Source organism: Homo sapiens, chromosome 9 (genome assembly GCF_000001405.40).
Source record: "Homo sapiens chromosome 9, GRCh38.p14 Primary Assembly".
In the NCBI taxonomy this organism is placed as follows: domain Eukaryota; kingdom Metazoa; phylum Chordata; class Mammalia; order Primates; family Hominidae; genus Homo; species Homo sapiens.
In genome coordinates, this window is record NC_000009.12 from 99,963,089 (window position 1) to 99,976,615 (window position 13,527).

Consider the following 13,527-nt stretch of genomic DNA (forward strand, 5'->3'; position numbering starts at 1 on the left):
TGCCACTAAATTGTACACTTCAAAATGGTTAAAATGGTAAATTTATGTTATATTTATTTTACCACTATAAAAAGAACTTACAAAGCCATTGACAGATCAAGGTATAGTACAATAAATGTTAATAAATTAATATCTACTAGGTACCCTGCTCTATTTTTCTTCAGCCTTTGTTGTTCAAGTGCCCTCTTCTCTCCCTATAACTTTGTAACTAGCCCTATTTCTAGTCAAGGAGAATTTAAAGAACCCTGGGCCAGTAGTTCAGTAACAACTCACCCTTGCTGCTAGTCTGTTTTGACTTCTGCCTTTTGCCTTATTCCCTGTCGTTTTTGTAATCCAGTTTTACTCTGGAAACATAAAAACTGGTTGCAATGGATTAGATCAGATTCCTTCATTTATTACCTATGTGACCTTCAGGATGTTATTTGACAACAATGAGCTTTATAACACTGATGGGAGGACTAAATGAGGTAATGTGTATTATTAAGTACTTCCCATTCTGTTCCCTTCCACTGACCCCAACTGCATTCCCACTTTTGTCCTTCCTTTATTTTCATTCCTTGTTTGGCTCCTTGCAAAAATTCTACTTTTTCCACCACTATTATCCTTAGGCATTTTAGTACTGGAATTCCTTCAGTCCCTTTCCAACTGCTGAATCCTCTGTTAGCAACATCCTACTTATCTACTCTGCTTATTGCTTACTCGAAGCCAATATAATCACTTATTTTGCCTATATATCATAGTATTTATAAGTTTGTTTCTGGGCCTTTTTGTGTATATGATTGCATATGATTAAGGAGTATATAGAATATATCATAGGAGTTTAGAACCAGAATAGCTCAATGTGAACAGGATTGGTCAAGATCTAAGATTAGAACTTGGCCTTGAAGGCTGGCTGGAATTTAGAGAGGAATAAATGGACGTACCTGGAGTTTTGGTATTACCCTCTTAAATAAACTCGTAGCTTTCCAAGAACCTTAAACTTTACAACTACTATCAGAACTCTCTATGGAAGACCACTGTTAATGATATAAATGGATTTGGGGGTTAATTTTTGAATGTATTATTATTGCTTGACATAGAGGATGCTAGGCCTACAAGTGTCCCCAACAGGCATTCAAGAACAAAACAGTTCATTGGTTTTGAATTTATATTCCCAAATTGCATTCTGCTTGACAAGTATAATAAATCACAGTTTATACAGAAACTTAGGTACTCCTATAGCTGTTCGTCAAGATTTGTTATGTTCAGGCCAATAGGGGGACTTAATTCAATGTTCTTTAAAATGAAATCCGTAGACATATTCTTAGAGTCATTTGAGAATTTTCTTTTTCTGTAAAAGGAGGTCAGTATATTACTCTAGCTTGAGAAACACTGCAGTGTAATGAGCTAAACACTTAAATATGGTTTAGCTCATTGTTAAAGGAATGCTGAGAACATATATGGGGTGCCAAACTATAAAATGGCAGGTATGGAATTTGAAGATTGTCAAATGTGGGAGGCCTAAGCAGATGAAAATAAACATGAGCAAATCAGAAGCAAAACCTCAGGGGAGATTGATAGATAGAGGTTAGGAGGCTCCTGCACCACCATTAATGTTTAGAGCTTGATTTCACAGGCTGGGGCAGGGTTGTATATGTATCTTTTGGTCCCACAAAAAGAGCCAAGGACATAGTGGACAGGTAGTGACCCAATTCAGCTCTGTATGGAGTCTGGTTTGGCATTCTGCTGATGGTAATTGACAACTCTGTGACAATAGTTTGCTGCCTAACTGTAACCTTTGTGGGGGTCAGTGAGTCCTCCTTACTCAAGAAGCAGAATTTGAAGATATGGGCAAAGTTTGAAGTTGCAAACCAAGCAAAATACGGACAAGAGAAAGGCAGACGTGCACAATCGAGGGGTGATTATTGATCCCAGGATAGGGGCTGTCTGCCCTCTGCCTTATTCCCACACCCCAGCCCCATATCTTAGCATGCTTTCTGATGGCATGAATAAATACTTATAGATGTGGGCTACTCCCCAGGGTGGGATGGGCCTCATCAAATGCTGGTGATTGCAATGATGGGGAACTTTGTAGTTCAAATAATTAGTGATCTCAGGATTGGTTTTTTGCCTGTGGTTGCTTCTTCAGTTATTCCAAATGATTTTTATGAAAAAATATTTAAATTATTTTAAAATTTTGCTTTAATTTTTAAAAAGTCATAGAAGTACAATATCCAACCCTTTTTAAAGGAAGGAACATTAGAAAGTATTTCCCTGAGGCTTTACGATTACACTTGGGGTATAGAAATGGCAATAATCCTGGCAGGCTCCTCCCTCTTGCTGGAATTATTTTGGGGCTGAAGGAAGGGAGACACTGACTATTTTTCCTCTACCTTTCAACTCATCAACATATGACGGCTGATGGTAGAGTTTTAAGCCTGTGATTTATCTGCTAGCATAGACTGTTTCAGGCAAGAGTGGAAAGTGTTGGGGGTGTCCTAAATAGAAACAATGATAGGGTGTCAGAAATCTAGACAAGTTGTATATTATTAGTGCTGGAACTTTTTCTTCTATGGGTCAGAAAAAGAAAGCTGACTTAAATAAGTTTTGCTATTGAGGAAAATAAAAATTGAATGATTGAATGAATGCTAAAAGATACCTGAAGTTTTAGTGTCCTAGAATTTTCAAGCACCGAAAGAAAAAGTTAAATATATTTTTTGATAGAGAGATGAGAGTTAACACTTCCTTGGGGAAATTAGGATAAATTTTTCTATTTTTCCCCCCTCACACTTTGCAAACACATTTTATCCCCACTTCAACTCTATGAAGGTATAAGTATCACTATTCTTACTTGATAAATGAGAATACCAACACCTAGAGAGCTTGAGTAATTTGTCTAAGAGCACATAGTGGCGTTTGCTGAGATTTGAACACAGATTATCTGACTAAAGGTGGTGCCCTTGATCTGAGCACATATAATAGTGGTTCTTAAAGTGTGAGAATTGTGGACTGGCAGCATCAGCATCACCTGGGAGCTTACTAGCTCAGGCTTCATCCCAGGCCTACTGGATCAGAAACTCCGGGGATTAGGCCCAGCAATCTGTGTTTTAAGAAGCCTCCAGGTGGAAGACTGAGAACCATTGTTAAAGTTGTCTCTCACAGAGACATTCAAAGGAAAACTGATAAGGGACTTTCTTAGGCATTGTTTTAGAGATGTCAAGATAGTGGTGGAGAATATTGGAATGAAGGGATACCACAATGGCGAAGATAGACATATTTTGTGTATGAGAAGGGAAGTAATATCAGTAATGCTAAGAGGAAACAAACATGGGGAAAAAGTAGCTGTGTGGTTTGGGCTTCATGTTTTCAAATGAAATAATGGTTGGAATTAGAAAAGTGTTGTATGTGTCTGCCTCAATATAAATGAATAGGCCAATTATATAAGGGCAATCAAACACTTCAGGATTAAAGTTGAATTATTTCACCCTCATTGCAGGTGGCATCTATCTAGGATCAAAGAGAGATTCTCTTTTTTCTGCACATTAAAAAAACAAAACCAAAATAGTCTGTAAACTGTGATGGTTGATTATATGTTGGCTTATACATTTGTTGTTTATACATTTGTGATAGTTGGTTTATACATTTGCTAAATTTCATCATACTATACCATTAAAAGCAGTACTTGTTATATGTAAATTCTATCTAAATAAAGTTGAATTAAAAATGGGAATGTGTTCCTACAGCAAGTAATGAGTTCGTGTCACTGGAGGTATCTGAGCAGAGGTTCAGTAACCACTTGTCAGGAATGTTACAGTAGGGCTTCGCACATCAGAGAGGAGATTGACCTGATGACCTCAACATTCCTTCTACCCAGAGATTCCATGAGTCACAGTTGCTGTTGTGCCAGCACAGGTGTTGCCATTTTATGTAGAATGCTTTATTAATATATTTGATCTGAAACATTTTAAACTGTCATGATTTTAAAATGTATTAAGATACACAGGTGTAAAGCACAGAACAGTGATTTCATTCACTGTTCCCTACTGCATATTACAAATGGAAAGATCTCATAATAGATCAAACCGTATTGTAGTCTTGTTCCTGAAACATAACAATTTGTATTTATTGGACCAAGGGCATTTTACTCCTAAGGTAAATGTGCCTGATTTAAACTGAATCCTCAAAGAAGGTAAGTTAGGGAGGTATTTTGGGGTTTGATTTTGTTGGGTTTTTTTTTTCCATCAAACCCAACATGACATGTAAATGCTTATTTGGATTTTTTTTTTCTGGAAAGTAGATTCATTTGGAGAATAATATGTTTGTATGTTTGAGTGAATTTTAGCGTGAGATGCTTTTTGCTGTAAAGTTGCCACCCTTTTATTACCTAATAATTAAGACCCCCCCCTTTTTTTTATGAAAGTTAATTTGTCCTTTCGACATGGCTTATCAGATGCTATTAATGAACCACTATTAAGATGGCAAGGCTGCAGTACCCAGGGCCCTGATTACAGGAATTAAAATAGTGTGTGTTGGCTCCCTGCTGCTCCCCAGCAGGACCGCTCACTCATAATTCCTTTGCATCTAGTCTCAGCAGGAGAAGATTGACAGCATTGCAGACCATGTCAACAGTGCTGCTGTGAATGTTGAAGAGGGAACCAAAAACTTAGGGAAGGTAAGATTCTGCTCCTGCTGACAAATCAATGGTACTCTGGCTCCCAGGAATCTCTAGTATTAACCCAATTGATCTGCTCTCTTCAATGTTGAGGGAACCAGCAATTAAGGAAATAAGGAAGAAATGACACATAGGTAGTGTAAGAAATCAATGTTGTAATATTCTACTCTAAGATTCATTCTATCAGGAGAGGAATTTCTTCAAAGAGAGAATAAACTGTAGCTCTGCTGTAAGGCATTTGGTGTTACCAGGGAATATTTGCAGAGGGTAAAAGTGTAAGTATGTGACAGCACACATGGAGTGGGACCATCTATTTTCCATAGGATGTTGCTTTTAACCCCAGGCACACAGCACTGAATAATTTCTGTGCAACATAAAAGCTTTGGGGGAAATCTGTGGCTGCCGAAACAGTTTAAATAAGCCAGCTAGATAGTTAGTGAATTGATTGTTTTGCAAGTAAAATCAATTTGTAGCAGTCCACTCTTTGTAGCTCAGCTCTCTAAGTTCTGAGATCTGGAGCAATTGCAGTACCTGTGGAATACTTTCTTTTCCCCCCTACAAGTACAGTCTCTAAGGTTAATTATGTACCAAGAGTTAAAGAGGCATTGCCAGGAGTAATGAGAGGAAAACGCACATCACCACAGGCAGATATTCTCAACTCAGTTTCTAAATTGAATTTTTTTTTTTTTTACAGGCTGCAAAATACAAGCTGGCAGCTCTGCCTGTGGCAGGTGCACTCATCGGGGGAATGGTAGGGGGTCCTATTGGCCTCCTTGCAGGCTTCAAAGTGGCAGGAATTGCAGCTGCACTTGGTGGTGGGGTGTTGGGCTTCACAGGTGGAAAATTGATACAAAGAAAGAAACAGAAAATGATGGAGAAGCTCACTTCCAGCTGTCCAGATCTTCCCAGCCAAACTGACAAGAAATGCAGTTAAAAACCAAATTTCAGTATTATTGGTGCCAACATGTCTATCCTGAGGACCTTTGCTGCTGTTGGACACTCCGTCACCTTTTGGAACACAAGTATATCAAGATAGTGGCTACTGATGTTCAAGTGGGATTGAAGTGTGATAAATGGATATATTTTGTTGTTTGCTGGGGTGTTCATGGAGATGTTAAGAGATTGAGGCCCTGGGCTGAGGGTATATAATGTATGTCAGGTAAAGTTTGAAGACTGCCAAGGAGCAGATTTTCTCCCTGGAAATGTGAAAACTGAACCTATAACTCTGATAAGGACTTGAGATGTGTAGAAACGTTGGGTTATGGAAGACTAGTTTCTTCCATAACCCTGAATTGGAGACCTTAATGCTAAGTGTAGATTATTGAGGTTTGTTAGTGAGGAAAAGAATAAGAGTTCAGAAGCCTTTGTTATCAGATAGCGAAATCAGGGCCTAGTGAGGAGCACAGGTCGACTACATAATGGAGTCCATTGGCGAACCCTATTGCAATTTGGTCCAACTATATCTTCTGGTGAAGGAAATTAATGATGTAAGAAAATGCAAGAGGCTCAACTTCTCTTCCAAAAATCTTCTGGCTTCTGAACTCTTCCTCTGCCTCTCTTTAAATAAATAACACAGAATTTCAAGTGGTAGGAGACTTATTAAGCCAGTCACCAAGCTTGGTCTGTCAGCCTGTCTTCTAACACCTCAAAGATCTTGTGCCCTGTGCTGTCCCTCCCTTGTAATTATGAAAAGTTCTTTGGTTTCTGGGGTGAATTCTACCCATGTATAATGAGGAATTCTCTCATAACCTTTTTTGTCTTGTCTGTCATCTCTGTTCATCCCTTCCTATAACCTCTAGGTAAAAAGAAAAGAAAAAAAGAAATTTCGAGATATTTTCAACATTGTTAGAGTTTGGGCTAAAATGAGCAAGGAGAAAAAAACCACCAAGAACATTTCCTGGGGCATGTTCCAGTTTTGAGGGGTGATATATCTGCCAGATAGGGGGTATCTGACCCAGTCTTCTTTTCAGCTGGTCTCTGGGGGGAGCTGAGAACTCGCTTGCTACCTCACATCCTTTTCCCCAGACTTTTTATCTCCTATGCATCCCTTTGCTTTCTATAGCTGGTGTTTCTTCCCCAAAATGGCGTTCCCATGCTTACCTTTCTCACATTCTAGACAATGATGGACAAAGACGCATGCAAGACTCAGACCCGGGGAATGGTGTGGTGCTAATCTCAACACCTGACATTCACAGCAAGCATGGCCCAGCCCAACTGCATGTCTATCTCAAACCGCAGAAAGGCTTTAATACTGGAAAAAAAGAATTCAAGACTACAGGCAGCTCCCCTCTGTACCCCAACTCATTTAAAATAGGAGGAATCACTTTTTGCCTTACTTAACGCTTTTTTCTGAGCACAGGGATGGGCACCTGCACCCCAGAAGGTGTGAGCTGTCTCTCTGCCAGGAGCTAAGGTTCATTAGGGGATTGGATGGTTTATCACTTCTTTCTTTCTGAGTTTACTTTTAGTAACTTTTATTGATGGCTACCTTTCATGTCCCTGTCTAAAGAGACTTTCTCTTTCATACGTCTTAAATCTCATCAATGAAATCCAGTGAAACAGCACCATTTCTTAGTATCATTAAATAACTAGAAAGTATCAAGTATTGCTCTCTGCTGCTTTATATCATTAACATATTAATAATACCAAGAAGGAAATACTTTGAATAAGTGTCAGATTCTGATCCAGTATTGGACACCTGTGATATTGGACACCTGTGAGGCTGGGATAATTACTTTTGAATTACACCTCTTCTCTAGTTTCTGGACCTTGCTCTGTCACTTTAACACAGGGTGATCAAACCTGAATGAGGATCAGAACTCACCCAGGCACATACTAAAGCAAGATTCCTAAACCTCAGTTCCAGGGGTAATTCTGACATCACCCGTCCAGCATAGTCAGCTGAAATTATAAATCTAAGAAACAGTTACATCAAGATTCTGCTGTGTCATTTAATTCTGAAACTCCCAGTATTCTACCCTTCTTCATCACTGCATATTACCCCACTCTTCCATCCCAAATTGGCTATCCTTTCAGCCCACCAACTTAGCGGCAGCACTAGGGATTCATTATAAGGTAAATCTGGTTTACATAAAGACCTGAAGGAGGCCTGTATTTGAAGCTCACACTTGGTATTGGTATCTCTCATTTTTACTGAGCCAGTGTGGAATACCACTGTATGTACTCATATAAGCCCTTGACTTTTACTGCTCATCAGGATTGGAATATTACTCTAGCAGTCTTCACACATAGGCAAGTTACAGTCCTTTTAAAAAGTATCTCATTTCCCTATAATGGAACCTAATAGCCAACTTTTTCATAGAAATTGCTAGAAGAGTTTGATCAACTATAAATGATAAAGTGTTTATAAGCATAGTCAGTGTGACACAGAAACCAATCTTAAAATTGAATTTAATGTTTTATCATATCAGATTAAATATTTTCTCCATGTCTTATTTTTACTGCAACAAGTTAGAAAGTGGGAACACTTTGATTAATGTCTTAAAATTTGTGGGCCCTCATTTGGATAAAGGCAGCAATCCTAAGGACTTTTTTTTTTTTTTTAACATAATCTGAGAATTTCTCTGTAGAGCAGAGACTTTCAAACCTTTTGGCTGTAACCCACAGTAAAAAACGCATTTATATCAAACCTTAGAATATGTTTAATGAACAATACTTACCATTCTGATGCTTTTTATTGTTTCAGTTTTTAAAATATGCCAGTTGCAACCCACTAAATTGATATCTACCAATGGGTTGCAACCCTTAGCTTGAAAAAAACACCCTCACAGAGGAACTGGTATTTCTTGAATACCTTCTGTTTGCCAGGCACTTCACCAGGCATTTTACAAGTAAGGAAACTGGGCTTCAGAGAAAATAATTTGCAGAGGTTTACTCAACTACAAAGGGGTGAAGCCAGGAATGTTAACTAGGTCTGTTGAGCTACAAAAACTTTTATGTCTCTCAGACTATACAGCCTCTATACAAAATTGAGATGGGGGTTGGGGGCAGGGGCTCATGCCTGCAATCCCAGCACTTAGGGAGGCAGAGGCCAGAGGATCACTTGAGCCCAGGAGTTTGAGACCAGCCTGGGCAACATAGTGAGACTCTTGTCTGTATGAAAAAAATTAAGAATTAGCTGGGTGTGGCATAGCACACACCTGTGGTCCCAGCTACATGGGAAGCTGAAGTGGGAGGATCACTTGAACTCAGGAGCAGCCTTGGTGACAGAACAAGACCCTCTCTCAAAAAAATATTTAAAAAAAGGTGGGTCATCCATTCTCCTTTACCAAACAGGCTTTGAAATGACACATTCCATTCATTTGCATCTTTTTAAAAAACTTCTGATTCCTTACTGAGTGTCCAGCAGCCTCAAAGTTTTTAATGGTAGCTGATGCAGACATAAACAGTGCTCAATTTGGCCCTTAAACTATAAAATCAAGAAAGAGTATTTCAATCCCATCCACCTGCCTGCAAGATTTCTTAATGTTCACTAGTTATAACCATTGTTTAAACAGTGCTTTTTGTGTAATTTAAAAATAAACTTTAATGCTTTTTAAAACAAATTTATCATAATTCATAGATCAAATGATTATCCTTTAAAATGATACCCTTGGGAAATCATGTACTTACTGTAGTGATGCTAGTATTAATATTACTTAGACCAATTTTGAAACTGTTCTTTCAGAATTGCCTCCAAAGACATTTTGCAGATCATCCCAGAAAAGGGGGTATGATGGTGCTGTGTAGAACTGACCAGAGTTCCTGGAGGATTTTGAGGTTATACTGAAACTGAGTGCTGTACAGGGAGAATTGCATGAGTCCAGAAACTTCCTTCTGTGGGCTGCCTGCCTTCCTGCCCTCCCTTAAGTGCTCTAAGATTTTTGTACAGGAGTAAGAATCAAATACTGGTAACATCAATCACAAGAAGTTGAGGAAACCTGTAATATAGCTAGATAATATACAACGTTTGTCTTCCATCAGAGTGCAGAAACCAAACCATGCTTTGTGTTAACCTTAAATATGAAAGGTGTTTCTCAGGGTCCCCTTTGTCCTTCGTTGCTGCCATATGAAATCTTACAAGGAAGGATGAGGAAAAGCCTGGGGGGAGGTTCTCCTCGGAAATGAGGTGGTTTTTTTTGTTATTAAGTAGAACGTGGCTGTGGTTCACAGGTACTTAACGAATGTTAGATGATGTTCTTAAGTAATCAGAGGCCTAATAAAAGGCAGGGGAGTTTCTCTTCTAGCCTAAATTAATATTAAAAGTTCAGGGGTATTTTTTGTTTTTAAATTAATACTTTATTGTTTTTAACAGGTGGTTCTCATAATTTACATTCATTAATTTGATGCCCTTTTACAAAGAAACTTCTTAGGTATTATAAACCATCAATGTAAAGGATCCACATGGTATGTATCCACATTGCTACTCTCAAATAGAAATGGGAGATAAGAAATATATCTGTGCAATATTAAATTGAAAAAAAAAAACCCATAAAAAGTGTCAAAGGCAAATAATTTGCTCTAGATCACAAAACTAGTTAGCACAAGGCTAGGATTATAACCAGGGTCTAGGAAAAAATCCTGAAGGTGATTTAACTGAGTGTTAGGCCCTGTCAAGCCACCTGCTAAGGCTCATGGTCTTTCAGACTAGCTTCAACATTCCAAATCAGGCAATAGCTACAACGGAAAGATAATTGGACGGGGAATCCTGAGATCAGAGTCCTAGTTTGGCTTTGTCTCTTGTAGCAGGATTTTTTAAATCAGGGGCAGCTCTCTTCTCCCATCCCAGCCATGAATCTTTCAACCTTAGTGGTCACCAACTTGACTCCATTCCTTATATCAAGACTTGTCCTGTCAATTCTCCCTTAAATGTTAGTTGCATCCATTTCTAAATATATCCATGGCCATCACCCTAGTAAAAAGACTATTACCTCACACCCCGCACTTGATCTTCCCCCAACTTTAAGTGACTCAGTTCCTTATATCACTGCCACAAGAATTAACAACCATGTCCATCTTTCATTTTTCTGCTGAAAGATTTTCAGTGGTTCCCACTGAATACCAAATAAAGTTCGAATCCCTTAGATTGGCATTCACAGCCTTCTACGTTCTGGCCCCAGCTTTATCTCTTGAAACTCACTACTCACCATCTGACAATGCCACTAAAAATCCACAAGAGTGATTTTAAGGTTTTTCTATGGTGAAGGTTCAAACTGGTAATAAACCATGTTTACATTTTTCTGGTCTAAAATAATTTCTATATTACTTTATAATAGTCAGCTGGGGGTTATTTAAGCTCTTGGACGAGCCTAAAACTTGTATCCTGAAGAAAATATTTTTTTCCACCAGAAGAAATTGCTTTCAATTTCTTAACCTTCAAAACAATGTCAGTGTTGTCACCTGTGCATTTGATAGCCACAGCACAAGTATTCTTCAGGAGCATAAATCCTCCAGCCTTGAATGGACCATTGTCCAGCTCCTGTGAAAAACTTAATATTTGAGAAAGACATTCAATGGTACATGTTTTCTGTACACTTCATGAGTAGTTGAGATTTTCTTGTATTAAGGTTAATCACTAAAAAGGTGTTTACTTGGGTTTCGTTAACTAAACCCCCTAAAGATGTTTTCCATTTTATTGTTAAACACTTGGTGTTAGCAAGGGTCAGCACGAGAAAAGGCCCAATGGCAAGAATTTCTGCAAACTCTGTAAAGCTTACTGAATTCATTTGTCATTTATTACATTGCTGAGTGGTGCTTGAATAAGGAAACATGCAATAAATTTACTTATTTAACCAACATTTAACTGAAGGCCTGTGGTGTGTTAAGTGCTGGGGCCATACATAGAAAAATACTAGACCTATAGAATCTACCCCTGTAAACCATTCAGGCTAATGAATTCAGATACCTAAAGCAAGTAAATCACAGTAAAACCTGGTAACTGCCCTAAGAGAGGAATGAACAAAGTAATACGAGGGCACACAGAGTGGAGGGACCAAATTCTGCTTGGAAAAGAAGGGGCAGGCTTTGTGGAACATGTGGTGTTTGAGCCGTACCTAAAGAAGAATATGCCTGATTGAAGATGGAGTTATGGACAAAGGGCTCAAAACACAACATGGTGGGCTCACAGAAAACTAAGAAACAAAACGCACCTGAGTGATGAAGATGGTTGGATGGAAATACAGACTAGGATGTGATCTATTTAAAATTTAATACTTCTTTGTTTATAGGAATTGATGTATTGCTTTGTGTCAGATAAGACTATTACTCCTCTGAGTTCCTCATTTTGCCTTCTTGCCAGGGAAGTTAGTATTAAACCTCACATTTGGTGGAGTTCTTGGTATATTTGGCATATTTGCCTTCCTTTCCCACAGGTTGTGCTTTCTTCCCTCTCTGCTTAAGAGATCATCTGCTTAACACTGAATGCCCTCTTTGTTCCTGTTCTAATAGTCATTCCATATTTATTGAAAACCCACTGAGAAAACAGTCATGAAATTTACTTATTAGTGTCCAAGTGCTTCACAATCGTTTTCCATCTCTACATGAACATTTCTTAACCACTGCAATTCATGGCTCCAGTTTTCACTTATGGTTAATTCTGCAATGTTCTCGAACTTCAGAGGGGTAAAATTCTTTCACTGGTGGTGGTGTGATCTCCTCAACTAGACTGTAATCTGCTTTCAGGACAGGGATCACATCATCTTCTTTGAGTACTTCTTGCAATAAAATACAGTGATGAGAAGGAAAAAAGAAACTACATTCCTGTTAGTGATTGTTAGATGACGAGTGATGAGGTAATAGCATGTGAGTTCTGCTCTCTTTTGGGGACATGCATTGAAATATGAAATAGCTTTCTAAGACATATCAAATCCTTACTTAGTACCCACTTTTGTATATTAACAGGAATGAATGATGCAACAGAAGAAATCCAGACAACAACTCCAGGACTTGGAAATCATGAATTTAAATTTTCAGAATTTGCAGGTGAAGATATTTCTATCTCTTTTTCCAATTAAAAGTCATGACTTGGAAGAGAGAGGATATAGGACCTGAATCACTGAGGAAATGCTGTGGGAAAATTTGGACTGACTTATCTTCTGTCCTACCTTAGGATTACTAGGTCAGAATAGCAGGAATCCAAGAAGTATTGATAGTCTGACAGACTAGTATTGAAACAGGATGCAGCAGCAGGAATTTAATGGCCATGTCAAGCAAGCAGGTATTGGCATTGGGCAAGGGTGGGGCTGAAGAGGTAAGCATTTGACAGGATTTGAACCCGGGTCTCTAATGCTAAGGTTCATATACTTATTCCAACAAACAGACACTCAATTAGCTTATAGGAATGAAAAGGAATCAAGTGGCATTAATAGTTCTCCATAGTTCCCTTTCTTTCCTCTATAGGCTTTAATGTTCATAACAGGTTGCTGCCACTTATCAGGGTACACTGGGGGTCAACAATTCAGGATGTCCTTAACTCTTCTTCCTACCTTGACACCTTGCTATCTATCTCACAGGGTGGTTATGAGGATTAAAAGACTAAATTCATATTCAGTGCCTAGAATAGTGCCTGGCTTCTGCTAACTGTGCAAATGTTAGTTGCTGTTACTGTTAGAATTGTTACTATTTTTTCCCAAAGTTTAAAGGAAATGCACATTAATTTAAAAAAGGTATCATGTACCTACAAGAATAGTGTTAGGGAGACACCTAAAATGAGTGGAGACTTGAGAAATACACTAAGAATCCTTAAAATGATTTTTTCAAAAGGCTTTATTAAGACGGTTCAAAGATGACAGATGCCTGGTAGAAAGTGCATCTTTTTCATCTTTATTAAGAATGATATCCAAACATGAAAATATGTAAGATCTGGTTAGGAGCAGGGT

General features: G+C 38.4%; 1 protein-coding gene across 6 annotated transcripts in view; it reads left to right on the forward strand.

Moving 5' to 3' along the window:
• Positions 1–11,446, forward strand: part of STX17 (syntaxin 17) — a 67,881-nt gene extending 56,435 nt beyond the window's left edge. For all 6 annotated transcript variants that reach the window (XM_047423551.1, XM_011518821.4, NM_017919.3 and 3 more), the window contains 2 exons: positions 4,565–4,651; positions 5,346–11,446. In XM_047423551.1, coding sequence (XP_047279507.1) covers positions 4,565–4,651; positions 5,346–5,585 — 327 coding nt within the window. In that variant the 3' untranslated portion in view covers positions 5,586–11,446. The remainder of the gene's footprint in view (positions 1–4,564; positions 4,652–5,345) is intronic.
• Positions 11,447–13,527: the final 2,081 nt, after the last annotated feature.